This window comes from Homo sapiens, chromosome 7, assembly GCF_000001405.40.
Source record: "Homo sapiens chromosome 7, GRCh38.p14 Primary Assembly".
Lineage (NCBI taxonomy): Eukaryota > Metazoa > Chordata > Mammalia > Primates > Hominidae > Homo > Homo sapiens.
In genome coordinates, this window is record NC_000007.14 from 47,669,959 (window position 1) to 47,697,618 (window position 27,660).

The 27,660-nt window shown below is 45.7% G+C and overlaps 3 annotated features.

Moving 5' to 3' along the window:
* Positions 2,236–3,114: an enhancer, noted in NCBI's record as "OCT4-NANOG-H3K27ac-H3K4me1 hESC enhancer chr7:47711792-47712670 (GRCh37/hg19 assembly coordinates)". NCBI's record gives its function as "activates a minimal SCP1, AML or CMV promoter by ChIP-STARR-seq in naive H9 embryonic stem cells {active_cell/tissue: H9 hESC(naive)}" and the evidence as "EXISTENCE:reporter gene assay evidence [ECO:0000049][PMID:30033119]".
* Positions 10,146–10,659: an enhancer, noted in NCBI's record as "H3K27ac hESC enhancer chr7:47719702-47720215 (GRCh37/hg19 assembly coordinates)". NCBI's record gives its function as "activates a minimal SCP1, AML or CMV promoter by ChIP-STARR-seq in primed H9 embryonic stem cells {active_cell/tissue: H9 hESC(primed)}" and the evidence as "EXISTENCE:reporter gene assay evidence [ECO:0000049][PMID:30033119]".
* Positions 12,204–12,717: an enhancer, noted in NCBI's record as "H3K4me1 hESC enhancer chr7:47721760-47722273 (GRCh37/hg19 assembly coordinates)". NCBI's record gives its function as "activates a minimal SCP1, AML or CMV promoter by ChIP-STARR-seq in naive H9 embryonic stem cells {active_cell/tissue: H9 hESC(naive)}" and the evidence as "EXISTENCE:reporter gene assay evidence [ECO:0000049][PMID:30033119]".

Genomic DNA, 27,660 nt, shown 5'->3' on the forward strand with positions numbered 1-27,660 from the left:
TGGTCTCAGCTACTGGGGAAGCTGAGGTGGGAGGACGGCTCAAGTCCGGGAGGTTGCGATTACAGTGAGCCATGATCTCGCCACTGTACTCCAGCCTGGGCAACAAAGTGAGATCTTTTCTCAAAAAAAAAAAAAAGTTGTAACATGCGTGTATCCCCAAACAATAAATTGCTTAGTCAGGCTTATGTGGGACTTTCTAGAAATGCTATCACACTTTGTGTTGACTTCTGAGCCTTGCTTTTTTCCCTTCAAGTTTATGTTCCTTTCCCAAGGCTCTCCCAGGCCCAAGGGTCTCTCACGCTCTGTAAAACCTGTGCTCAAAGCTTCTCCCCTGAGGCTGTGGGCAGAGACTGGGTGATACTGAAGTAATACAAGTTCTCAGGAAAGATCCTTTTTTTTTTTTTTTTTTTTTTTTTACACCAGGCCAGGCCCAGATTGGGTATTTTTAATATGTAAAAACAAGACTGGGTGTGGTGGCTCACACCTGTAATCCCAGCACTTTGGGAGGCCGAGGCAGGTGGATTGCCTGAGGTCAGGAGTTTGAGACCAGCCTGGCCAACATGGTGAAACCCCGTCCCTACTAAAAATACAAAAAAATTAGCCAGGTGTGGTGGTTCATGCCTGTAATCCCAGCTACTCGGGAGGCACAAGGCAGGGGAAAATGCTTAAACCCAGGAGGTGGAGGTTGCAGTGAGCTGAGATCGCGCTACTGCACTCCACCTTGGGTGACAGAGTGAGACTCTACCTCAAAAAAAAAAAAAAAAAAAACCAAAAAACAAAACAAACAAAAAAACAAATATGTAAAAACAGGGAGGGCCCCAGTGTGCTTGTTAACATGCATATGAGAGCGCCAGTTTGCAAAGCAGGTACAGCCCAGGCGGGCACTGAGCAGGATTCACAGCTGGGTCCAGACGCCTTCGCTCCCCACAGATGACACCTGCAGCGAGACTCTGCTGACCTTGAACTTCAAGCTCTGTGCTTCCACTTTTGACATTCATTTGTTTCTTAGCCTAAACTTGACACTTCCTTTTAGCAATATGCAAATTCAAGGCTGTCACAGCACAGCATCTGGAAAGTTACAACAGCAGCCCATTGGCGGTGATGGTGGGATTGTGTAGGGCTTACATTTTTTAACTTCCTTGAGTATATTTTTTGAGTTTTCCACAACAGGCATGCATTGCCTAGGAATGAGGAAAATCCAACGTCTTCCTCAGGAACCCAGGCTTCACCCATCTACGTGTCCTCTCTTCTACAAAATGGGGCTTACATGAACACTCTCCTCACCAGGCTTACTAAGGGCTTAGCTTACAGACATTATTGAGCATCTTCTGTGTACCAGAGGTTGGGGGCACGGGAGGAGTCAGATGTGGACCCTGCCCTTTAGGGTCTAGTGCAGAAGAGAGGTTTCCATAGGCAACTAGAATTCAAAACGGCATGCACGGCGGTGGAGTGAGGGGAGGGCTCTGGGGGGGCTCCGAAGGGGTAGATAGGCCGGAGTCTGCCAGATTGGAGGCCAGGGCCTTCTAAGCATCAGAACACATAGGCATACGTGGAAGGTTGAGCCATGGCATTTGGGAACCCGCCTAACCCCCCGGGGCTGGGCACAGAGTCCAGGGAGCACACAGCCTGGGGGTCGGGGAGAGAACGAAGGGACAGCACTTGGTCCCTCGGGGTGTGCATCAAGCTCAGCTGCTGAGATCTATGGATCCCAGTTCTGGCTGCGCTTTATTTTTATTTATTTATTTATTTATTTATTTATTTATTTTTTTGAGACGGAGTCTCCCAAGCTGGAGTGCAGTGGTGCCGTCTCTGCTCACTGCAACCTCCGCTTCCCAGGTTCAAGCAATTCTCCTGCCTCAGCCTCCCAAGTAGCTGGGATTACAGGCCCCCATCACCATGCCTGGCTAATTTTTTTTCTATTTTTAGTAGAGTCGGGGTTTCACCTTGTTGGCCAGGCTGGTTTTGAACTCCTGACCTCAAGTGATCCACCCATCTCGGCCTCCCAAAGTGCTGGGATTACAGGCGTGAGCCACCGCGCCCGGCCTGGCTGTGCTTTAGAGTCCCCCGCAGTGTCGGTGGTGAGCTCAGTGCCCAGGCCTGACCCAGATTCATCAAACCACACTGTTAGAGCAAGACTGGCCTGGATGGTATGGGAATTTTTTTTGTTAGTGTTCTCAAGTCTACAAAAGCTCTGGTTATAGGCAAGGCTGAATGACCTACTATTTGGGGAGCTTTGTGTAATTGAATGAAAGCTAAAAAGATTCATGTTGGTAAAAAGAAAATCCCAGAGGGGCTGCACCACGTTCTAGCAATGTTTGAGGGAGCCAGTGTCTCCGCAGCCTCACCCGCGTGTGGTGTGGGTCCTGTTTTTCATGTTAGCCATGAAGATAGGTGAGCAGCAATATCTCATGTGATCTGATCTTCCACTTCCTTAAAGGCCCCACTGATGCCTTTTCATTTGCTTATTTGGCACCTGTATGTCCTCTTTGGTGAGATGCCTCTTCATGCCTTTTGGCCACACTGAGAGTTCCTTTTCCTTGCCTCTCACAGTGATATTTGGAAAACAAATGAGTGGTGGTTGCTAGGGGTTAGGGCTGTGAGGGAGGAGAGGGTTATACCTCTAAAGAGGTAGCAGGAGGGAGAGCTATGTGGCAGTGGGACACTTCTGTGCCTGGATTGCAATGGTAACACAAATCTTCACGTGTGATAAGATGACATAGAACTACACCCACACACTGAAGCAGCGCCCATTTTCTGGCTTTGACATTGTGCTATAGTTATGAAAGATTGGGGGAACTGGGTGAGGCGTGTATGGGCGTTCTCTCTGCTATCTTTGCAAGTTCCTGGGGATCTACAATTATCTCCAGATACAAAAATTAAAAAGAAAAGTCAGTATCGATCAGTCTGAGAGTAGAAGTTTCATTAACCTATAATTGCTATTTTACTTTTTCCTCCCAATTGATTAGTTGTTTGTTCTCACACAGCCAGACCACATCATATAACATTTAGGTTCTGACTATGTTCCTTGAAGAAAATATACACTCATCATGTGGGGAAACAATGGTGACGTTTCACCTAAGGAATGTGAAGATGGAAATCAAAGTTTTCTCCCAATCAGGTAACTGAGAAAGGCAGGAGGCCATAGAAGCAGCCGCCTCAGCCCCATGGGTCACATCTGTGCTGAGTGACAATCTGTGTCTTAATGAGAAGCAATAAAGGCTAATTATCCCCAGGGTTTGACAGGTCTTTCTCAACACTTCTGCATAAAAAAGCAAGGCCACCCAGTTGGTCTCTGGATTGCAGCCTGCAAGAATCCCATGGTGGTGTTTAAACAAACGAGAAAGAACACATCAAAGGGGCATCTTACAAAGGCCCAGGAGAAACCAAAGGGACCTGGTGGCCTGAGTCCCCAGCTAGAAAGACAGATTGAATGGTCATTGCAAAGGGTAGGCTTGAAGGGGATAATGTGTGGCCATATGGAATAAAAGGAACCTCATCTCATCGGCCATCCATCACTCCCCTCCAACAGGAACAGGTGGGTGATGGACAAAGGCTGTAGATACAGGTGCGTTTCTACCCCACCAAATTAACCTAAGAAAAAGCACGGTAGGAATGAAATTAGGCATTGCACCATTTATCTAATTTACATTTAGTGCCTTAAGAGCCTGTGAATGAACACTGGTTTATGCAGTCTGTTCACTCCGTTTTCAGTGGATTGCTGCAGAAGTAGCCTCTGATTTTATGGGGGCCTGCACACGCTGGCTCCTGCAGTCTTAGGGCCTGGTCTGAGGAGGGGCCCGGAGAGTGTGGAAGGATGAAAAATGGAGCAACCCGGGCCAGGTGCAGTGGCTTACACCTGTAATCCCAGTACTTTGGGAGGCCAAGGCAGGTGGATCACAAGGTCAGGAGATCGAGACCATCCTGGCTAACATGGTGAAACCACGTCTCTACTAAAAATACAAAAAATTAGCCTGACATGGTGGCACACACCTGTAATCCCAGCTACTTGGGAGGCTGAGGCAGGAGAATCGCTTGAACCTGGGAGGTGGAGGTTGCAGTAAGCCGAGACTGCGCCACTGCACTCCAGCCTGGGCGACAGAGTGAGACTCCGTCTCAAAAAAAAAAAAAAAAAAAAAAAGAAAGAAAAGAAAAAGAAAAATGGAGCAACCGAGGCTCAGAGGGTCTAAGGTGCTGGACGACGGCAACTGCAGGGGCAGACTCCGATTCCCAGCCTGGTGCATCCACCACTGGCCTTCATAGAGATTCTTGGGGGTCTGCGGGGGCCTGCTTTATGCCAGGCCCTGGAGGTATGGCCAGGAACACGACCCACTAGGCTCTGCCTCATGAGCTTACATTCTAGAAGTGGGAGATGGAGGTAATCAGTCCATATGGACGGGGTCAAAGGCCTCTCTGAAGATGCGGACTTTCCTAACACTCGCACCAGCCAGAGGACAAAGCATTCTGGGGGTCTGGGCTGGGAGGACACACGAAGTCCTTACAGTGCCAAAAAGCTTGGTCCCTCCCAGGCTGGACAAAAGCTCATGGTGGTTGGGGCAAGCAGGAGGGGAGAGAGGCAGAGCCAGGCTCTGAGCAGCAGGCAGGCGCCCCACCTCACTGAGCTAGGGCCTATGGGGCACGGTGAGGAGCTGGGTTTTAGTTAGAAGTCAGGTGGAAGCTGCTGGAGGATTTTAGGCAGGGGAATCATAGGGTATTATCAGCTCTACAAACAGAGAATTCAGGTGTTGTGTGGAGAAGGGATTCTGGGGGGCAAATGTGAAGGAAGAGAGGCCAGGTAGAAAAGTGATCAGAGCAGAGCAGAAAACACACCTGCATTCACACGCTCATGCACACACACATACACACATGCACACATACTCTCACACACATGCACACATACCCTCACAATGCTCTCACACAATTGTGCACACATACACACATGCACACATACTCTCACAATGCTCTCACATGCCCCACAGACACACACTCTCTTACAGACTCACACATTCACATGCACTCTCATGTACTCACACTCCCTCACACACACAAACTTTTATACATATTAGCATACACACTCAGACAAACATACACACTCAAGCACATCCCAGTGGTGACTGATCAGTGCAGTCACTGTGCACATTGTAACACAGGAGAGAAACGGCAGCTTTAAGGGATTGTGAGCCAAAGCAATCCTCCTGCCTTGGCCTCCCTAAAAGCTGGGATTACAAGCATGAGCCACCACACTTGGCCTCAATGCAAAATTTTTTTTGTTTTTTGAGACAGAGTCTCTTTCTGTCACCCAGGCCGGGGTGCAGTGGCGTGATCTTGGCTCACTGCAACCTCCACCTCCCTGGTTCAAGTGGTTCTCCTGCCTCAGCCTCCTGAGTAGCTGGGATTACAGGCACCCACCACCACACCTGGCTAATTTTTGTATTTTTAGTAGAGACGGGTTTTCACCATATTGGCCAGGCTGGTCTTGAACTCCTGACCTTGCAATCCGCCCACCTCAGCCTCCCAAAGTGCTGGGATTATAGGCGTGAGCCACCGTGCCTGGCCACCTCAGTGCAATTCTTAAATGACACTGAAAATTGTTAGCTTAGTATGATGTTTTTCCAGCCATACTGGGAATACTGAATTGACTTAATTTATGCATAGGAGGCAACATGCTGCCTGAAGAAAAAGTATCCTAAACCCTAATGGTTCAAGTCATCGGGTATTTCCAAGTTCACCAAGAAATTCAAACCCTGTCCTTCTTTACCATTTGAGGGAAAGCTGACACAGATCTAAATCTTGATGTCTTTCATGTGTACTGCCAACAAGTAAGGCAGCACAGAAGAGTAAAAATGCCTCAGTTTCTCAAATCTTGCTCTTGCGTTCAAATCTTGACTTTGCTGTCTCAGTCTGCCTGTGTATTGAATGGGTGCAATAACAGTTATCGCCCATTCTTTTTTTTTTTTTTTTTTTTTTTTTTTTGAGACAGAGTCTCACTCTGTTGCCTAGGCTGGAGTGCAGTGGCGCAATCTCGGCTCACTGCAAGCTCTGCCTCCCGGGTTCATGCCATTCTTCTGCCTCAGCCTTGCGAGTAGCTGGGACTACAGGCGCCCGCCACCACGCCCAGCTAATTTTTTGTGCTTTTAGTAGAGACGGGGTTTCACTGTGTTAGCCAGGATGGTTTCAATCTCCTGACCTCGTGATCTGCCCACCTCAGGCTCCTAAAGTACTGGGATTACAGGCATGAGCCAATGAGCCACTGCACCTGGCCCAGTTATAGCCTATTCTTTTTTTTTTTTTTTTTTTTGAGACGGAGTCTTGATGTCACCCAGGCTGGAGTGCAGTGGTGCGATCTCGGCTCACTGCAGGCTCCACCCTCTAGGGTTCATGCCATTCTCCTGCCTCAGCAGCTGGGACTACAGGCACCCGCCACCTCGCCTGGCTAATTTTTTGTATTTTTAGTAGAGATGGGGTTTCACCGTGTTAGCCAGGATGGTCTCGATCTCCTGACCTCGTAATCCACCCACCTCGGCCTCCCAAAGTGCTGGGATTACAGGAGTGAGCCACCGCGCCTGGCCAGTTATAGCCCATTCTTATAGCACTGAAGGAATTGTGCAATGGCTATGTAACCCCTGGGTCAAGTGCCTGATTCAAGATGGTGGAAAAACATTCCTTTCCATTCTATAGAACACATATGTATTGGATGTCTTTTCTGTGCTGGGTATAGTGCTTGGTGCTTAGGGAAAAAGCACTAGAGAGACAGATGTGGTTTGTGCTTGTGACAGTTTCATGTGTCAACTTGACTGGGCTAAGGGATACCTAGGTAATTGGTAAAACATTAGTTCTGGTGTGTCTGTGAGGGTGTTTGCAGAAAAGATTAGCATTTGAATTTATAGATGGAGTGAAGCAGATCCACTGCAAACTTCTCTACGCTCTCCTCCAAACCACATGGCACTCCTCTGTGCCGTGAGGTTTTGTCATGTTCGTTATCTGTGGATGTCATAGCTCTGCAGTTACCTGCTATGGTTTGGAAATGGGCTTATTCATCTCTACCATCGGTGCAGTGGCTTTGGGAGATGGGGCCTAGCGGGAGGTGTTTGGGTCATGGGGATGGATCCCTCGTGAATGTCTTGGTACTGTTCTTGTGGTGATGAGTTCTCACTCTGATGAGCCTGGATAATTTCCCACAGAATGAATTAGTTCCCGCAAAAGTTGACTGTTAAACAGACAGAATGCTTCTTGCATTTTGTTTCTTCAGGTGTGTCTTCTTGCCCTTTGACCTTCTTCATCATGTATGTTATGATGCAGCACAAAAGCTCTCACCAGAAACCAGGGCCATGCTCTTGAACTTCTCAGCCTGCAGAACTGTGAGCTAAATAAACCTCTTTTCTTTATACATTACCCAGACTCAAGTATTCTGTTTTAGCGACACAAAATAGACTATGATGGAAGATTGGTATTGAGCAGTGGGGTCTTTTTATAAAGGTACTTGAAAATGTGGAAGCCAGTGTGGAACTGGGAAATGGCCACAGGTTGAAAGAGTTTGGAGGAGCTGGCTAGAAAAGCACTGCATTGCCCTGAAGTGGGCATTAAGGATAATTCTGGTGAGGGCCCAAAGAAGACAAAGAGATTAGGGTAAGTTTGGAATTTCTTGGAGACTAGTTAAGTTATTGTGACCAAAATGTTTATAGAATTATGGACAGTAAAGGCCATTCTGATAAGGTCACAGATGGAAATGGGAAGTATCTATTTGGAAACTGGAACAAAGGTCACACTTGTTACAAATATTTGTATTTATGCCCTAAGGCTTTATGGAAGGTTGAACTTAAGAGGGATGACCTAAGATAATCTGGCGGATGAAATTTCTAAGCAGCAAATCACTCAAGAAGTGGTGTGGTTACTTTCAACAGCTTATGCTCAGTTATGGCAGCAAAAGAATGACCTGAAGGCAGAATTTACAATTAAAAGGGAAGCATAGAAATTTGGAAAATTTCCAGCCTGGCCATGTGGCAGAGAATGAAAGGGCATTTTCAGGAGAGGAATTTAAGAGTTCAGCAGAGTAATCACTTGCTGAGGAGATGACTGGGGGTGAAAAGGGAGCCAAGTGGTAACAGTAAGAAAAATGGGGGCTGGGCATGGTGGCTCACGCCTGTAATCCTAGCACTTTAGGAGACCGAGGTGGGCTGATCATCTGAGGTCAGGAGTTGGAGACCAGCCTGGCCAACATAGTGAGGCCTTGTCTCTACTAAAAACACAAAAATTACCTGGGTTTGGTGGCGGGCGCCTGTAATGCCAGCTACTCAGGAGGCTAAGGCGGGTAATCGCTTGGCCAGGGAGGTGAAGGTTGCAGTGAGCAGAGCTGGAGCCACTGCACTCCAGCCTAGATGACAGAGTGAGACTCCGTCTCAAAAAAAAAAAAAAAAAAGGACAATGGGAAAAGGCTGGAGAGGCATTTCGGAGATCCCTGAGGCCTGCCCCTCCCATCTGCCCAGATGCCTGAAAAGGCAGAATAATTTGGGGGGATGGGCCTGGGACCCTGATGCCCTGTGTAGCCTCAGGAAGCTGTTCCCTGGATCCAGCCTGGAGCAGCGGTGGCACAATTGGCTGAGATATTAAAGTGGTGTCATTGTCTGGGATAAAACCTGAGGTTCCTTGTCCCATGGCCATGGAAAACTAGGATGCTTACACACCAGAGTGAGGTTAAACTCAGAAGTTTAATAGGCGAAAGAAAAAGAAGAGATCTCTGTGCAAAGAGGGGTCTCAGAGAAAAATGGGTTGCTGTGGTGAAATGTAGGAGGTTTTATAGATGAGCTTGAGGAGGCAGTGTCTGATTTACAAAGCACATGAAAGATTGGCTGGACCAGGTGTGCCATTTGCATAGCACGCAAATGGCTGAGGACACAGCTCCTGAGAACTCAAGTTGTAAGCCTTGGAGATGTCCATGTGATGTCAAGTCTGCAGGCACCTAGAAGGCGAGAGCTGTAGAGGCTTGGCAGCTTCCTTTTTGATTTCAGAGGATGTTTCTGAAAATCTAGGGTCCAAGGCAGAAAACTGCTGTGGGGCACAGCCACCATAGAGTCCCTCCTGGGGCAATGCCTGGTGGAACTATGGGGCCAGGGTCACCACTGAAAACCTGGAATGGGAAAGCCACCAACAATATGAAACCTCAGCCTGGAAAAGCTGCCAGCACCAAACTCCAACCCATGAGAGCAGCTGCATGGGCTGTGCCCCGCAAAGCCATGGGAGCAGGGCTGGCTAAGACACTCACTGAGTGTTTCCTTACTAGGTGTTGACTTCTGCAGCAACTGAAATATATTCCTTGTCTAATTCTGACGAGGCAGGCTAATTAGAATTCTAATGCATAAACACCCCCTTTAGCTGGGCACTGTGACTCATGCCTGTAATCCTAGCACTTTGGGAGGCTGAGGCGGGCAGATCACCTGAGGTCAAGAGTTCGAGACCAGCCGGGCCAATATGGTGAAACCCCCTCTTTACTAAAAATACAAAAATTAGCCAGTTGTAGTGGCACATGCCTGTAATCCCAGCTACTTGGGAGGCTGAGGCAGGAGAATTGCTTGAACCCGGGAGGCGGAGGTTGCAGTGAGCCGAGATTGCGCCATTGCACTCCAGACTTGGAGACACAGAGAGACTCTGTCTAAAAATAAAAAAAAAAAAAAAACCCAAGAAAACAAAAAACAAAAACAAAAACAAAACGCTTTAGCTGTCTAGAGAACATTAATGGTTGTGCATATATCAGTTGTTCTCAAAATGTGGGCTGTGGATACCTGAGGGTCCTTGAGAGCTCCTCAGGGGATTACTGTCCTTCCCATACCAGGACAATGTTCTTTGCCCTTTTCACTGTGTTTAGATTTTCACTGATGGTGCAAAAGCAATGGTGTCTGATACTGCTGGTGTCTCAGTGTGAATGTGGTCACTGACACTGTAAACCTAAAATAAAAGTCTAAGCCCCCCAACCCTCAGAATGGACTTCCTCCTAGGCCAGGGAACTCTTATATTTAACCTGAAAGACTGGTTCAGGCCATGACGGGGAGAGGGGGTTGGGCACGCCTCATTTTCCCTCTCAGGCACCAACATCAACGCAGACTTTAAGTCTGACAAGAAACATTTACAGGCCGGTTTGGTGGCTCACGCCTGTAATCCCAACACTTTGGGAGGCCAAGGCAAGTGGATCACCTGAGGCCAGGAGTTCAAGACTAGCCTGGCCAACATGGAGAAACCCCGTCTCTACTAAAAACACAAAAATTAGCCAGGTGTGGTGGTGCGTCCCTGTAATCCCAGCTACTTGGGAGACTGAGACAGGAGAATTGCTTGAACGTGGGAGGCAGATGTTGCAGGGAGCCGAGATCACGCCACTGCACTCCAGCCTGGGAGACAGAGTGAGACTTAGTGTCAAAAAAAAGAGGCCGGGCGCGGTGGCTCACGTCTGTAATCCCAGCGCTTTGGGAGGCCGAGGCAGGCAGATCACGAGGTCAGGAAATCGAGACCATCCTGGCTAACACGTTGAAACCCCGTCTCTACTAAAAAATACAAAAATTAGCTGGGCGTGGTGGCAGGCGCCTGTAGTCCCAGCTACTCGCAAGGCTGAGGCAGGAGAATGACATGAACCCGGGAGGCGGAGCTTACAATGAGCCGAGAGTGTGCCACTGCACTCTAGCCCGGGTGACAGAGCAAGACTCTGTCTCAAAAAAAAAAAGAAAGAGAGAGAGAGAGGGAGGGAGGGAGGGAGGGAGGGAGAGAGAGAGAGAAAAAGAAAGAGAGAGAAAGAAAGAAAGAAAGAAAGAAAGAAAGAAAGAAAGAAAGAAAGAAAGAAAGAAAGAAAGACAAGAAAGAAGAAACATTTACAATCTACTGTAATGTATTCTCCTGCAGATGAAGCCTGCTACCTGGAGGCTTCATCTGCATGAAAAAAACTTTAGTCTCCACAATCTCTTATCGCAACCCAGACATTCCTTTCTACTGATAACTCTTTCAACCAATTGCCAATTAGAAAAATTGTAAATGTACTTATAACCTGTAAGCACCCCCGCTTCCTGCTTCAAGTTGTCCCACCTTTCTGTACCGAACCAATGTATTTCTTCAATGTATTTGATTGAAGTCTCATGTCTCCCTAAAATGTATAAAACCAAGCTGCACCCGGACCACCTTGGACACACGTTCTCAAGATCTCCTGAGGGCTGTGTCATGGGCCATGGTCACTCATATTTGGCTCAGAATAAATCTTTTCAAATATTTTACAGAGTTTGACTGTTTTCTTCAACACAGAGTTCGTTACTGCCACAAACTTAGAGTAAGAAAACTCAGTTTCTGATTAAACAGTGAACACTATTGATCAAAGGTCGAGCCCCTGAGTACAGATCTCTTAAATATATCCTGTGGGTTGCAATTGGAAGGGCACAGAAAGCCCCTTTGCTGCTTGCTGAATGGCGCTTGCTGAATGGCACATGCTGTCTGAACAGAAGCGCTTGTGTGATCCTTGCCTTGGAGCTGAACAGACAGCCTTTGCCAGGGAAGGAGCAACTGACAGGCTGTGGTCTTTCACACTTGTGTATTGGTCGGCTCATAGAGACTCTTGTGAAGAGAATGGGGACGCTATTGACAAATGGGGTTTCTTTTTTCCTATTAAATAATAAAATGAGTCAACATTTGGAAGATCTGCTTAATTCAGTGAATCAACATTTTTCAAATGACCAACGGATGATGTTACTGATTCACGCATAGGTAAGAGATTCATTCAGTGTGCTAGAGAGACCAACAGATTTTATACATAGAGTAGGAAAAGTTCATTGATTCCACAGTGTAATTAAACTTTAAGGAACTATCGCATGTCAAGTTTTGGTGGATTATCAAATAAAAATATTGACAATAATCTAAAAATGCCATTAAAAGTGCTCCATCGGCCTGACGTGATGGCTCACACCTGTAATCCCAGCATTTTGGGAGGCCAAGGTGGGCGGATCACGAGGTCAGGAGATCGAGACCATCCTGGCTAACACAGTGAAACTCCGTCTCTACTAAAAAAATACAAAAAATTAGCTGAGTGTGGTGGCAGGCGCCTGTAGTCCCAGCTACTCAGGAGGCTGAGGCAGGAGAATGGCATTAACCCGGGAAGCGGAGCTTGCAGTGAGCCGAGACCACGCCACGACAGCCTGGGCGACAGTGCAAGGCTCCATCTCAAAAAAAAAAAAAGTGCTCCATCATTTCTTTTTTTTTGTTTTGAGATGGAGTCTCGCTCTTTCGCCCAGGCCAGAGTGCAGTGGCGCTATCTCAGCTCACTGCAAGCTCCTCCTCCTGGGTTCACGCCATTCTCCTTCCACAGCCTCCCGAGTAGCTGGGTCTACAGGCGCCCACCACCGCGCCCGGCTAATTTTTTGTATTTTTAGTAGAGACTGGGTTTCACCGTGTTAGCCAGGATGGTCTCGATCTCCTGACCTCGTGATCCGCCTGCCTCAGCCTCCCAAAGTGCTGGGATTACAGGCGTGAGCCACCGTGCCCGGCCTATCATTTCTTAACTACCTATCTACGTGAACCTAGATTTTCTTTTCATATTTCACCAAAACAATACTCTGCACAGACTGAATGCAAAAGCAGATTGAGAATCCAGAATCTCCACTAAGCCAGATATTAAATAGATTTGCATAAAATGAAAACGACACCATTCTTTCCACTAAGTTATCTGGTTTGGGCACATACAGTAGTTGATTTCCTTAAATTACTATTATTTATGTTAATATGTGATTGATTTATTACATTTTAAATAAATAAATGTTTAGTTTAAACAATTTCTACTATGATAAATATTGATAGTATGAAACACATAAACATCAGCTCTTTTGGCCTCTTAATAATTTTTTTTTTCTTTGAGATGGAGTCTCGCTCTGTCACCCAGATCACGCCACTGCACTCCAGCCTGGGTGACAGAGCAAGACTCCATCTCAAAAAAAAAAAAAAAAAAAGTTGCTCATCTAACAGGTACCTGTGAGAGACACGGCTCTGGAGACGAAGACAGCCTCGTGCAGGGGACCTCCTGGGATTGCTGTGGACCTTGGTCCTCCTCAACCCTGTTACACCCACACTGTCGGAAACCAAGGCCCGGGAGGTGGAGTGGCTCGCTCTGCTTCACACTGCTGCACCACAGCATTCACACCCATCCCAGGGCTGTCTGGCTGCATTCTCTCTGTTCTCTACAGTGCTTCAGACAATGAGTTGAAAGTTTACAAACCTGTGCCACTCTATATTCAATATGCACTGACATAGTTGTGTAAAAATTACTTATATATGTCCTAGAAGTGGTATTTACAGATTGAAAAAATTCCTAGAAAGCAAATAAAATGAAACTGTAGGATGCGGAGTATGTGATTTTTATTTAAAAGTTGAGTGAAGATAATTTCCACTAGTGCTTCAAAGTGTTCTGATGGCTTCCACACCTATTAACCTGCACATATGAATCCCACAGTGTCCTGGAGAAATTGTTACCCCAGTTTACAGATCACGAAATGAGGTTCTGAGAAGTTAAGTAACTGAGTCACAGACACATTCAGTGTGGGCAGGCTGGTGCGGGTCTGAAGCTCTTGCCCTCTCCTCTCCAAGGTGCTGACAATCTCTCAGGCTAATGAGGCTAACAGGCCATTACTTGTCCCCTGTGCTTTTCCAAGGACATGGACACAGGGGTAACTCCAACCCCTCCCATTCCTTCAGCAACAATGGGGCATGTTGACTTTGGGTCTCCTAAGGTTAGAGGCTCTCATCACGTTGTCTCTATCCATTTACCAGTGACAACACCAAACAATGTTTGTCTACGGTGCCCGGTGAATTGCCATTAGCTTTGCGGGAAACTCTCAGAATAGAGCATTAAAGGGTAGGAAGTTGAGCCCAGTGGCCAGGAATTTGGACCTTCTAGCCAAGCTTAGGGAGATTCACGCTGGCTGGATTTCCCTCACTGGAGGCTTGTTTGAAAAGACCTCCCAAGCCAGGGTGGCACTGCGTGTAGCTCCTGGAAGCAATCCTCATGCTGGCCAAACACGCCTACCTTGGGTGGTCAGCACAGCAGCCCAACTCCCCAGCTCCACTTCTCACAGTGAGAATCAAGATTTAGAAACTGCTGTGATTACAGAAGCTGCTAATATGTTGTTAGGGCCAGGTACCTCAAAGGACATTTCTTCAGCTAGGCAACCTCTTCCATAACAGTGGCCTGGTGAAAGTGCACACAAAATGCCTAAAAGAAAAGCGTATAATGGAGAGAAACGCACATGGTGCTCAAGTGCCAGCACAGAAACTGCAGTGTGGTGGCCCCAGCCCCTGCCAGTAGGAAGGGATAGTCCATATCAGTACTCATCACTGCAGTAAAAGGTGTGAATAAAAGGGTTGGGAGAATGGATATAAAGTCCAAGGACTTTGCTTCTTAAAAAAATTAATAGGCCAGGCGTGGTGGCTCACACTTGTAATTCCAGCACCTTGGGAGGTGGAGGTGGGCGGACCACTTGAGGTCAGGAGTTCGAGACCAGCCTGGCCAACATGGTGAAGCCACGTCTCTACTAAAATTACAAAAATTAGCTGGGCATGTGGCGGGTGCCTGTAATCCCAGCTACTCAGGAGACTGAGACAGGAGAATCACTTGAACCCGGGAGGCAGAGGTTGCAGTGAGCCGAGATCGCACCACTGCACTCCAGCCTGGGCAAGAGAGTGAGACCTTGTCTTTAAAAAAAAAAAAATTAATACACTTTATTTTCTATAACAGTTTTAGTTTTACAGAAAAATTGAGCAGATGGTACAGAAAGTTCCCATATTGCTCCTGCCCAACAGCTGCCTTTTTATCAACACCCTCCACCAGAGTGAGGCTTTCGTTATAACTGACGGATCTGCACTGACCCATCCTTAACACTCAAGGTCCATGGTTTACTTTAGGGTCTGTTCTTGGTGTTGTATATTCTATTGGTTTTAACAAATGTGTAATGTCATGCACTCACCATTAGAGTATATCATACGGTAGTTTCACTGCCCTAAAAGTCCCCTCTGCGCCACCTATTTATCCCTCCCCCAAACCCCTAATCTTTTTATTGTCTTCATAGTTTTGCCTTTTCCAAAACGTCACAGAGCTGGAATCATACAGTATGTAGCCTGTTCAGATGGACTTCTTTCACTCTGCAGTATGCATCTGGGGTTCCTCTGTGTCTCTTCTTGGCTTGATAGTTTCTTTCCTTTTAGCGCTGAATAATATTTTATTGTCTAGATGGACTATAGTTTATGTATCCATTCACTTACTGAAGGACATCTTGGCTGCTTCCAAATTTTGGCAATTATAGATAAAACTGCTGTAAACATCTGTGTACAGGTTTTTAGGTTTTCAGCTCTTTTGGGTAAATGCCAAGAAGCTCAATTGCTAGATCGCATGACAAGAATATGCTTAGTTTTGTAAGAAATCACCTTAGAAACTGCCTATCCATGAAATTGCAAAGAAGGTAAAAGAAGTTTGTGCTAGCTTTGCTGTTGTGCTTCAGACTGCAACAGTTGCAGCCACAGTGTGTGATATATTAAGATTGGAAAGGCATCACATTTGCCCGTGGAAGACTTAAACAGAAACTTGTTACAATTTTTTTTTTTTTTTTTTTTGGTGGGGGACAGAGTCTCACTCTGTTACCCAGGCTGGAGTACAGTGGTGCAATCTCAGCTCACTGCAATCTCTGCCTCTCCGGTTCAAGTGATTCTCCTGCCTCAGCCTCCCCAGTAGCAGAGATTACAGGCACATGCCACCACATCTGGCTAATTTTTGTATTTTTAGTGGAGACAGGGTTTTGCTACGTTGACCAGGCTGGTCTTGAACTCCTGACCTCAAGTCATCTGCCTGCCTTGGCCTCCCAAAGTGCTGGGATTACAGGGGTGAGCCACCTCACCCAGCTAACATGTTACAATTAACAGCAATTCCGTTTGGTATCATCTGTAGTTTCAGGATGGGGGGAGGGGGGCTTGGATAAGAGCTTGGATAAGACTGTCAATGCCAGGAGACATAGTCGTGTGTCCCTTAATGATAAGGATATGTTCCGAGAAGTGCATTGTTAGATGATTTCATCATTGCGTATATGTCAGAGTGGACTTATACAAAACTAGATGGACTAGCCTACAACACACTCATGCTGTATGGTATGGCCTATTGCTCCTAGGCTACACACCTGTGCAGCCTGTACTATACTGAATACTGAAGGCAACTGTAACACAATGGGAAGTATTTGTGCATCTAAATATATCTGAACATAGAAAAGCTGCAGTAAAAATATAGCATACAAGATAAAAAATGGTACATCTGTGTAGGGCACTTCCCAGGAATGGAGCTTGCAGGACTGGAAGTTGCTCTTGGTGAGTCAATGAGTAGGTGGTGAGTGAATGTGAAGGCCTAGGCCATTACTATGCACTACTACACACTTTATAAACACTTAGGCTACACTAAACTCATTAAAAAATACTTTTCTTTCTTTAATAATAAATTAAGCTCAGTTTACTGTAACCTTTTTACTTCATAAACTTTTTGATTTTTTAAACTTTTTTTTTTTTGAGATGAAGTCTCATTCTGTCTCCCAGGCTGGAGTGCAGTGGGGCAATCTCAACTCACTGCAGCCTGTGCCTCGTGGGCTCAAGGGATTCTCCTGCTGGGATTATAGGCACTCGCCACCATGCCTGGCTTTTTTTTTTTTTTTTTTTTTTTCTGAGACGGAGTCTCCCTCTGTCGCCCAGGCTGGAGTGCAGTGGCACGATCTCGGCTCACTGCAACCTCTACCCTCCGAGTTCAAGCGATTCTCCTGCCTCAGCCTCCTGAGTTGCTGGGATTACAGGCGCCTGCCACCTCGCCTGGCTAATTTTTTTGTATTTTTAGTAGAGACAGTGTTTCACCATCTCAGCCAGGCTGGTCTTGAACTCCTGACTTTGTGATCCACCTGCCTCTGCCTCCCAAAGTGCTGGGATCACAGGCATGAGTGACTGCACCCGGCCAATTTTTGTATTTTTAGTAGAGACAGGGTTTCACCATGGCCAGGCTGGTCTTGAACTCCTGACCTCAAGTGATCCACCCGCCTCGGCCTTCTAAAGTGCTGGGATTGCAGGTGTGAGCCACCACACCTGGCCTGGTTTTTTAAACGTTTTGATGCTTTTGTAATAACACTTAGCCCAAGACACAAACACATTGCATAGCTGTACAAAAATATTTTTTTCTTTATATCCTTATTCTGTAAGTTTTTTTTTCTATTTCTGTTTCTAGTTATTTACTTATTTATTTTTTACTTTCTAAAGTTTTATGTTAAAAATGAAGACAAAAACACACATATTAGCCTGGGCCTACACAGGGTAAGGAGCATCAATGTCACGGTCCTTTACCTCCACGTCTTGTCCCACAGGAAGGTCTTCAGGGACTAACACACATGGAGCTGTCGTTTCCTGCAATAGCAGTGTCTCCTTCGATACCTCCTGAAGGGCCTACCTGAGCCTGCTTTGCAGTTAACTTCTTTTTTGCATAAGTAAGACTACACTCTAAAGTTATTATAAAAGTATAGCATAGGGCCAGGTGTGGTGGCTCACACCTGTAATCCCAGCACTTTGGGAGGCCAAGGTGGGCAGATCACGAGGTCAGGAGTTCGAGACCAGTCTGGCCAACATGGTGAAATCCCATCTTTACTAAAAATACAAAAAATTAACCGGGTGTGGTGGTGTGCGCCTGTAGTCCCAACTACTCAGGAGGTTGAGGCAGGAGAATAGCGTGAACCTGGGAGGTGGAGGTTGCAGTGAGCCGAGATCGCGCCATTTCACTCCAGCCTGGGCGACACAGCAAGACTGTGTGTCTGAAAAAAAAAATAGCATAGTAAATACTAGGGGATAGGAGTTCTTTAGCTCCATTATAATCTTATGGAACCACTGTCACATACGTGGCCTGCCACTGACTGAAGCGTCAATATGCGCTGCATGAGTGCATTTTTGTGGCACATGAGTATGGTTTTGTTTCTTTTTGGCAGTCAGTGCGCAAGGGTGAGTGTTGAAGAGAACATCACGCAGTACATTTTAACGTGTGGCTTCCACTATAAAATCTGTGGTTAACTACTGACCCTTTTATTAAGCTTATTATGAGGGTGATTTGAGAAAAGATTTCTGAAAAAAAAACACACGTGCTTCAAATTTTTATGCAAAACAAAATTAAACCTAAAACGGCTAGTGGCAACTGCTTAGCCTTTGGTATTGCTTTTAATTATTTAATTATTTATTTATTTATTGAGATGGAGTTTCACTCTGTTGCCCAGGCTGGAATACAGTGGCACAATCTTGGCTCACTGCAACCTCTGCCTCCAAGGTTTAAGTGATTCTCGTGCCTCAGCCTCCCAAGTAGCTGGGATTACAGGGCACATGTCACCACACCCGGCTAATTTTTGTATTTTTAGTAGAGACAGTGTTTCACATGTTGGCCAGGCTGCTGTCGAACTCCTGACCTCAGGTGATCCACCCGCCTCAGCCTCCCAAAGTGCTGAGATTACAGGTGGGAGCCACCGTGCCCAGCCTGGCATTGCTTTTAAAAACACGTGTTCATGGTGGAGAAAAGCTGTGGTCCTAGTGTCCTGTCTTCTGTCCTCATTGTCTGGGAGGCCTAACCTTAGGCTTCCCTCGGAGCAATAAAGGAACTATAGGGTCTTAGAGCTGGGAAGGGGCTCCCATGTGCCTGATCTTGAGGCCATGGAGCCTGCGAAAGGGAAGCAAGAGGTCTATGGGATGCCACAAGGCTGTGGCTGGATCAAGCCATCGTCCTAAGAGGATTCCAAACAGTCAGAAAAGCGGGGAGATGAAAAGGGCCTCACAGTGCTGGGCAAGGGGCGCACAAAGGGGCTCTGTTCCTGTGCCCCCAGGGTGCCCCCTCTGCCTGCCTGGCTCTCATGGTTGTCAAAACAGAGGGAACATTCCTCAGCTGACCCAGGACACAAAGGCTTGTCCTGGGCTGGGAGCGAGGCGCAGTGGTTTCATTAGTCCAGGCACAGTCATAAATCCCTCCCCGGAAGCCTGGCCTGCCGCCTCAACGACCAGCCTGAGAGCCATGGCCAGTCCCACAAGTCCAAGGTAGGCTTATTTTTCTTCATTTGTAGAAAAGACTTTTTAGTCACTGTAACATCAATTGTTCATTGTGGAAAATTTGGAAACTACTGAAATCAAAGAATAGAAAGCAAAAGTCATATATACTATCTGTATCCACAAATAATTACTGAATACAAACACGATGTATGTGTATTTACATACATATTACGTATATATTTTTATATATATGTCAAATATCTGTATATGTTTGAATGGGGCGGGATTAGTGTTTTGTCAACCTTTTTATTGTGAAATACAGTACTTAGAATGCATCAACATAAGATGTGCAGGTTAACAAATAATTATCATGTAAATCCCATGAAGCTGTCAGTGACACCAAAGACCCCGTGAAATAGTTTCTTCTGAGTCCCCCACCTTGACTGTAGCAGTAACTGCCATCCTAATTTTGAGGACACATCCTGTTGCGTTTCTTTGTGGTTTACCATCTACATATGTGTCCCTAAAAAGTTTAGTTTAGCTTATTTTTGAACTGTGTATGAATAGAACTCTCCCATTTATATACCTTTGTTTCTGGGGTGTTTTGCTCAGTTTTGTTTGGAAGATGAATTTATCAATGTTGTTGATTGAATGTAGTTCATTCATCCTCATGAGTGTAGAGTGTGCCTTTCCAGGAATAAGCTACTTTCTGTTTATCATTTACTGCTGAGGGAACATTTGGGTTCTTTCCAGCGTTGGACTTCTACACACAGTGCTTCGTTGGTTCCCGTGGCCTGTGTGCCCGGACTTCTCATGTGCAGGCCTTGGATGAGAAGCATTGTGTCAACAGGTATCCAAAGAAGATAATGCTGAACTGCTTTTCAAATGGCTGCACCATTTATGTTCCAGATACTCCCCATCCTCCCCAGCATTGTCAGATATCTGGAAGGTTTCTGAGAGTTTCTCATGATGGTGCATGCAGAAATAGCTGACACATAGTAGACATTTAGTATTGTTTGTGGAGGGGCAGGGAATGATGGCTCACGCCTGGAATCCCAGCACTTTGGGAGGCCAATGTGGGCAGATCATTTGAGGTCAGGAATTTGAGACCAGCCTGGCCAACATGGCACAACCCCATCTCTACTAAAACTACAAAATAAAATAAAATTAGCCACTGTGGTGGCACACGCCTGTAATCCCAGCTACTTGGGAGGCTGAGGCAGGAGAATCGCTTGAACTAGGGAGGTGGAGGTTGCAGTGAGCCGAGATCCATCACTGCACTCTAGCCTGGACGACAGATCGAGACTGTCTCAAAGAAAAAAAAAAGTGTCTTGCAGCTCTATTTATTATGAGTGTAATTAGTTATATAATTACTTATATCTCATTAAATATATATTGTATAGCTATACATTAGTAGCTTAACAGTATATACTATACATATAGTTTCATACAGTTCTATTTATTATCAATTATATATTAGTTATTTGTCAGTTATACATGTTAGCTCTATGATGAGTTATTTTAGGTAGCTAAAGTATTTTAGTGAGTATAGACAGCCTACTTTGACTCTGCATCTTGTTTTTCATTTGTAAAATAAAGATAATAATCCTTGGGCCGGGCGTGGTGGCACATGCCCATAATCCCAGCATTTTGGGAGGCCGAAGTGGGTGGATCACCTGAGGTTGGGAGTTCGAAACCAGCCTGACCGACGTGGTGAAACCCCATCTCTACTAAAAAAACAAAAAATTAGCCAGGCACGGTGGTGCACGCCTGTAAACCCAGCTACTTGGGAGGCTGAGGCAGGAGAATCGCTTGAACCCAGGTGGCAGAGGTTGCAGTGAGCCGAGATCATGCTACTGCGCTCCAGCCTGGGAGAGAGAGTGAAACTCCATCTTAAAAAAATAAAAATAAAAATAAAAATAAATAATAATAATTCCTGCCTCATAGAGTTGTCATAAGAATTAAATAAGCAATCAGACAGATTTCTGGTACATCATAAACATTTTAACAAATGTTTATTTCCTTGTCTTAAATAATAACTGTAGAACACTGCTGAAAGGGCTGCTTATCAGAGTTGCCTGATTTAATGTTAGCTAAGGGCATTCACCTTGCCATTCATGTGCTTCAAACTACTCTAATCTAGAGGATTGTGTAATCTATTTAAAATCTTATTTTCATTTAAGAAAACTGTTAACTTCTCTCTCTGTTACTTTGCCTTGAAAAATATTTTTAAAATGTGTGCTACCAAATAACTCATGAGTCATCCATCGTTTCTTACAGTGACCCATCTGGAGAGAGTGACTTTTAAAATGTGTGAATGTTCCAGGATCACGACACCCTGGAATTCAGGATGGCCAGGACTGCAGCCCCCTTTTGTGAGGTTTCCGAAGCAGACTTGGGCCTGCAGGCCAGATGGACACAGCAGGCCTTTGCTTTCTATGCACCACCAGAAAATGCTTGATGATTCACTGGCTTTCTTTGAATCAAATGTAGATTATACAGAGCTGTTAAGTGTGGACTTTTTTTTTTTTTTGACAGAGTCTCATTCTGTCACCCAGGCTGGAGTGCAGAAGTGGTGCGATCTCGGCTCACTGCAAGCTCCGCTTCCCGGGTTCCTGCCATTTTCCTGCCTCAGCCTCCCGAGTAGCTGGGACTACAGGCACCTGCCACCATGCCCAGCTAATTTTTTGTATTTTCAGTAGAGATGGGGTTTCACTGTGTTAGCCAGGATGGTATCGATCTCCTGACCTCATGATCCGCCCGCCTCAGCCTCCCAAAGTGCTGGAATTACAGGCGTCAGCCACGGCGCCCCACCAAGTGTGGAATATTTTTAAGACAAAGGATATGATTTTTTTAACCTGTATCTTTGATGTGTAGTTTTTGACCATTAAATATGACCTTTTTTGATCTTATATTTAAAAAGATGCGCTGGCTTATATTAGACACAAGTAGAAAATTTAACTTTTCCAAGAGCAACACATAATTTTTAGTCATGGTTTGCTCATATTAAACATATGGTTACTGTATTACTAAAAAATATCAAAGTAATTTATGACTTTTAGAAAATCCACAATGCTGGTCCTTATTAAAAAAAGCATCAGGGTGAAGGTTACTGGAAGGAGTGCTCTTTTGCAGTTATTTGTCTTTGGATATTTTTAACATCTTTCATTACAGAAAGCTAAGTAGAAGTAGACAAGGAACATTTTGTCCTTGAGTCTAAAAATATGATTTTCCCCTTTCTTTCAAATTTTGAAGACTTTAACATCTCATAGTTTCTTTTTTAATGAAATCATTTAAACATAAAGTCACTGGAATATTTTTAATGAGCCATTTCAAAGAACTAATGAATTAAAATAACTTTCTGTTTCTCATCTTAACTGTTCTTTCCCTGACTGTAGAATTATTATTTGGAAAGTGGAAAGACTGGCCGGGTGCATTGGCTCACGCCTGTAATCCCAGCACTTTGGGAGGCTGAGGTGGGTGGATCATGGGGTCAGGAGATCGAGACCATCCTGGTTAACACGGTGAAACCCTGTCTCTACTAAAAAATACAAAAAATTAGCCGGGCGTGGTGGCAGGCGCCTGTAGTCCCAGCTACTCGGGAGGCTGAGGCAGGAGAATGGCGTGAACCCGGGAGGTGGAGCTTGCAGTGAGCCGAGATTGTGCCACTGCACTCCAGCCTGGGTGACAGAGCAAGACTCCGTCTCAAAAAAAAAAAAAAGAAAAAAGAAAGTGGAAAGATTAAATCTTGGCAGGAGGGAAAGATAGAAGTTGGGGAGAGCTATGTGTAAGGTGATAAAGTTCTGGAAGATGTGAATGGGGAAGAGACAGTCCAGTGGAAGGCCCAAAAGCCCGATTCTCTGAGGCACAGTACCAAATCTCTTCCACTGTCTAGATCTGGAAACCCACTGGGTATCTGTCCTTAGAAGGACACACTACCAACTTTTCAGTCCTCATTTAAGGCGTTGGGAATGTCTTTACCTCTTCCTGACACTGTAGTCTTCGTGATGTTGGGGACCTCAGCCTCACCTGGGACGTTGCCTGCTTGTCTGGTAGCTCCTCTCTGGGCTTTTACTCCAGCACCCTTAGTCCTGGGCTGATTCCCCCTCCTGCCTCCCAGCTATTCTCATTCTTCACACAGGCCCAGGATGGCCTCAGCTCTCAAGGTGGCAACCATCCCCTACGAACGATGAATGCACTGCAGTTTATTTCCAGCCCAGTCTCTTTCCGTAACCTTAGGCTCCTATGCTGAGCATCTCCATGTTTCGCCATTACTTCACTGGATGAAGTAACCCTTGCTGGGTAACTCCATATCCATGCATTCACTCTGTGTCAATTGTAGGATGCACACTTCACCCAGTCACCTAGACTAGAATACTTAGTTATCTTTGTCTATTTGGACTCCATTGTCGACTCATTCAATTAGTCACTACTTTCTCTTCTGTTGACTTAATTTCTTGAATTCCATTCAAATCCTTCCAGTTTTCTTTATCAGCCCTGGGCTTTAGTTCAGACTATTCCCACTATCGCTTATTTCATCTTTAAAACTAGCTGCTTAACTGGTTTTTCTCCCTCTAGAGTTCTCCTTCTCTCCCCAGTTAATAGCTGCAATACAACCAGAGATCCTTCTACAACACTACTTTATTTATTTATTTATTTATTTATTTTCTGACATAGAGTCTCGCTCTGTCACCCAGGCCGGAGTACAGTGGCAAAATCTCAGCTCACCGCAACCTCCACCTCCCGGGTTCAAGCAATTTTCCTGCCTCAGCCTCCCAAGGAGCTGGGATTACAGGCGCCTGCCACCATGCCTGGCATGGTGTATTTTTAGTAGAGATGAGATTTAGCCATGTTGGCCAGGCTGGTCTCGAACTCCTGGCCTCAGGTGATCTGACCACCTTGGCCTCCCAAAGTGCTGGGATTACAGGCGTGAGCCATCGCGCCTGGCCTAACATTTCTGATCTTATCTTTTCTTTAATTAAAATGTTTCGATGGGTTGGGGGTGATGGCTCACACCTGTAATTCCAGCACTTTAGGAGGCTGAGGCGGGCAGATCACCCAGATCACCTGAGGTCAGGAGTTCGAGACCAGCCTAGCCAACATGGCAAAACCCCGTTTCTACTAAAAATACAAAAATTACCTACTTGGGAGGTTAAGGCAGAAGAATCACTTGAACCCGGGAGACGGAGGTTGCAGTGAGCTGAGATCGTGCCACTGCACTCCAGCCTGTGCAACAGAGTGAGACTCTGTCTCAATAAATAAATAAATAAATAAATAAATAAATAAATAAATAAATAAAACGGTTCAATGGCTCTCTAACTCATCTAGGAAAGGTCCAAACTTCTTAATGTGATGAATAAAGAAAGCCCTTTCCACAGACTTCAACCTTTCCTGTCTGAGTCTGAGCTGGACTCTGGTGCTGAATCTGAGCGCCCCCGGTTAGTGAGAATGTTGCCTCTCCCTCCATGGGCTCTCTAAGATTTATCCCACATGTCAGACGTCAGATAGCGAGTCTCTCTAAGGACAACCACTGAGTTGAATTCACTGGCACATCCTCTGCACATATGGAGTTTTGTGCTAAGAAGTTTAATAATATTTCATAAAAGTCATGATGGAATTTATTGTCTACCATAAGGAGCCATGCAATAAATTCCTGTGTATGTTCCACTTCAGGAAATATTTAGTCTCTGCAATTGGAGGCATCTGTTTTCTGTTGTCAAAAATTTAAATTAGTGTAATCTGAGGTCTCCTTTACCGTTAAATGCCAGAAAACTCAGAACCAGATACATTAGTCAAGAATCGTAAACTGCTTGGCTCTGCTGTCTGAGACTAGGAACCCCTTTTGCTTACTTTAAATAGATTCTTTTCTTTAACCCCTAAAAAACACTTTTCCCTGCTTGTTCTCCAACAACCTGTAAGACTTTTGGATGTATGTGGGGTACTTAGAATGATGTCAATGTGGCCGGGCGCGGTGGCTCACGCCTGTAATCCCAGCACTTTGGGAGGCCGAGGCGGGCGGATCACGAGGTCAGGAGATCGAGACCATCCCGGCTAAAACGGTGAAACCTCGTCTCTACTAAAAATACAAAAAATTAGCCGGGCGTAGTGGCGGGCGCCTGTAGTCCCAGCTACTTGGGAGGCTGAGGCAGGAGAATGGCGTGAACCCGGGAGGCGGAGCTTGCAGTGAGCCGAGATCCCGCCACTGCACTCCAGCCTGGGCGACAGAGCGAGACTCCATCTCAAAAAAAAAAAAAAAAAAAAAAGAATGATGTCAATGTTCAACATAATGGGTTTTCTCAGTTTGATTATTAACTTCTAGCTTTTACCCATGCATTTTTACAAAGTTGCAATTTTCACATAACATGAGAAGGACCAATAAATCTTGGCCATCCTGCCTTTTCTCCAGAGCTTCTCTATTGCTTTCACTTCTCTTACACAGCTCAGACCCTCATATTCTCTGACCGGGATATATATATACACATATATATATACACATATATATGTATATATGTGTGTGTGTATATATATATATATATTTTTGTTTGTGTTTGTTTGTTTGTTTTGAGATGGAGAGTCTCGCTCTGTCATCCAGGCTGGAGTACAGTGTAACGACCTCGGCTCACTGCAGCCCCCTCCTCCCAGGTTCAAGCAATTCTCCTGCCTCAGAGTCCTGAGTAGCTGGGATTACAGGTGCCCGCCACCAAGTCTAGCTATTTTTTTTTTTTGTATTTTTAGTAGAGACGTGGTTTCACCATGTTGGCCAGGCTGGTCTCCAACTCCTGACCTCAGGTGATCCGCCTGCCTTAGCCTCCCAAAGTGCTGGGATTACAGGTATGAGCCACTGCGCAGGCTCGGCCCTGACCAGAATCATTTCAATCTTCCTTTTCGGACCGTTTGCATCCAGATTGTCTTCTGCCAATGCAGCTTCAAAAATGACCACCAGAGGCCGGGCGCAGTGGCTCACGCCTGTAATCCCAGCACTTTGGGAGGCCGAGGCGGGTGGATCATGAGGTCAGGAGATCGAGATCATCCTGGCTAACAAGGTGAAACCCTGTCTCTACTAAAAATACAAAAAATTAGCCGGGCGTGGTGACGGGCACCTGTAGTCCCAGCTACTCGGGAGGCTGAGGCAGGAGAATGGCGTGAACCCAGGAGGTGGAGCTTGCAGTAAGCCGAGATCACTGCCACTGCACTCTAGCCTGGGCAACAGAGCGAAACTCTTGTCTCAAAAAAAAAAAAAATGACCACGAGAGCAATGTTCTTAATATTCATGAGGTGGGTCAGCTATCTGACGAGATGAGATTTTAAAATTTATGTCTGTATGTATATGTATGTATGTTACTTAGGCAAGAGAACTACTATGTTAAGTCTGGAATTTGCTTGGTGAAGGAGATGATAGTATTCAAAGATTTAAAAGTATTAAAATTCTATTATGTTGGCACAAAAGTAATTGCATTTTTGCCGTTAAAAGTTATGCAAAACCACAATTACTTTTGCACCAACCTAATAGAAACCTCCTGGAAGAGAGGAGTTGGAGATTCCGATCCCTTCTCCCTGAGATTCTAAGTATAACAGGACATTAAATAAAACCTTTTCTGTTGCCTTGACATCCAGAAATACCCAAAGGCTCAAAGCGGTAGGTAAAAGACTATGTATTGTGAAACCTGTTTGGAGACTCTTAACTCTTTATCCTCCTCCAGGATATATAAGGAATGCAGAAGATATTGGTGGAGACCTTTTTTGGGGAGAATGTTGGTGTACTGTGCATTCTGGGTCCCTCTGTAGGGAAGTGATCAGGTACTTCTTCACAGTCTCAAGCTGCCAGTTGAGTAAGCAGGGGTTTTGGAGAGTCACTGGGAGAGCTGCACATGTCACCCAGGCATTCAGAGCCATCAAGTTCTCATACCTGATTTCCACTGGAAAACATCTAAAGGTGAGAAGCTGGCTGGTGCCCTGAAGAGTGGGTCACAGCAGGAAGATGCCACATTCCCACTGATGGAGGGGTGAAGACGTGAGTTTCTCTGGTCAGCTATGGAGTCAGGCTATGTGTTAGTCCATTTGCCTTGCTATAAAGGAATACCTGAGACCGAGTAATTCATAAAGAAAAGAGGTTTATTTTGGCTTATCATTCTGCAGACTGTACAGGAAGCATGGTGCTGGCATCTGCTTTTGGGGAGGGCCTCAGGAAGCTCAAAGTCATGGTGGAAAGTGAGGGGAGCCAGTGCATTACATGGTGACACAGGGAGCAAGAAGGATGCCAGCCTCTTTTATTTTTTTTTTGAGATGGAGTCTAGCTCTGTCACCCAGGCTGGAGTGGAGAGGTGTGATCTTGGCTCTTTACAACCTCTGCCTCCCGGGTTCAAGCGATTCTCCTGCCTCAGCCTCTGGAGTAGCTGGGACTACACGCATGCCACCACGCCTGGCTAATTTTTGTATTTTTAGTAGAGATGGGGTTTCACCATATTGGTAAGGCTGGTCTTGAACTCCTGACCTCATGATCAGCCCCCCCTCAGCCTCCCAAAGTGCTGGGATTACAGGCGTGAGCCATGGCGCCCGGCCACCAGGCTCTTTTAAACCATCAGCTCTTATGTGAACTCACAGAGCAAGAACTCACTTATTACC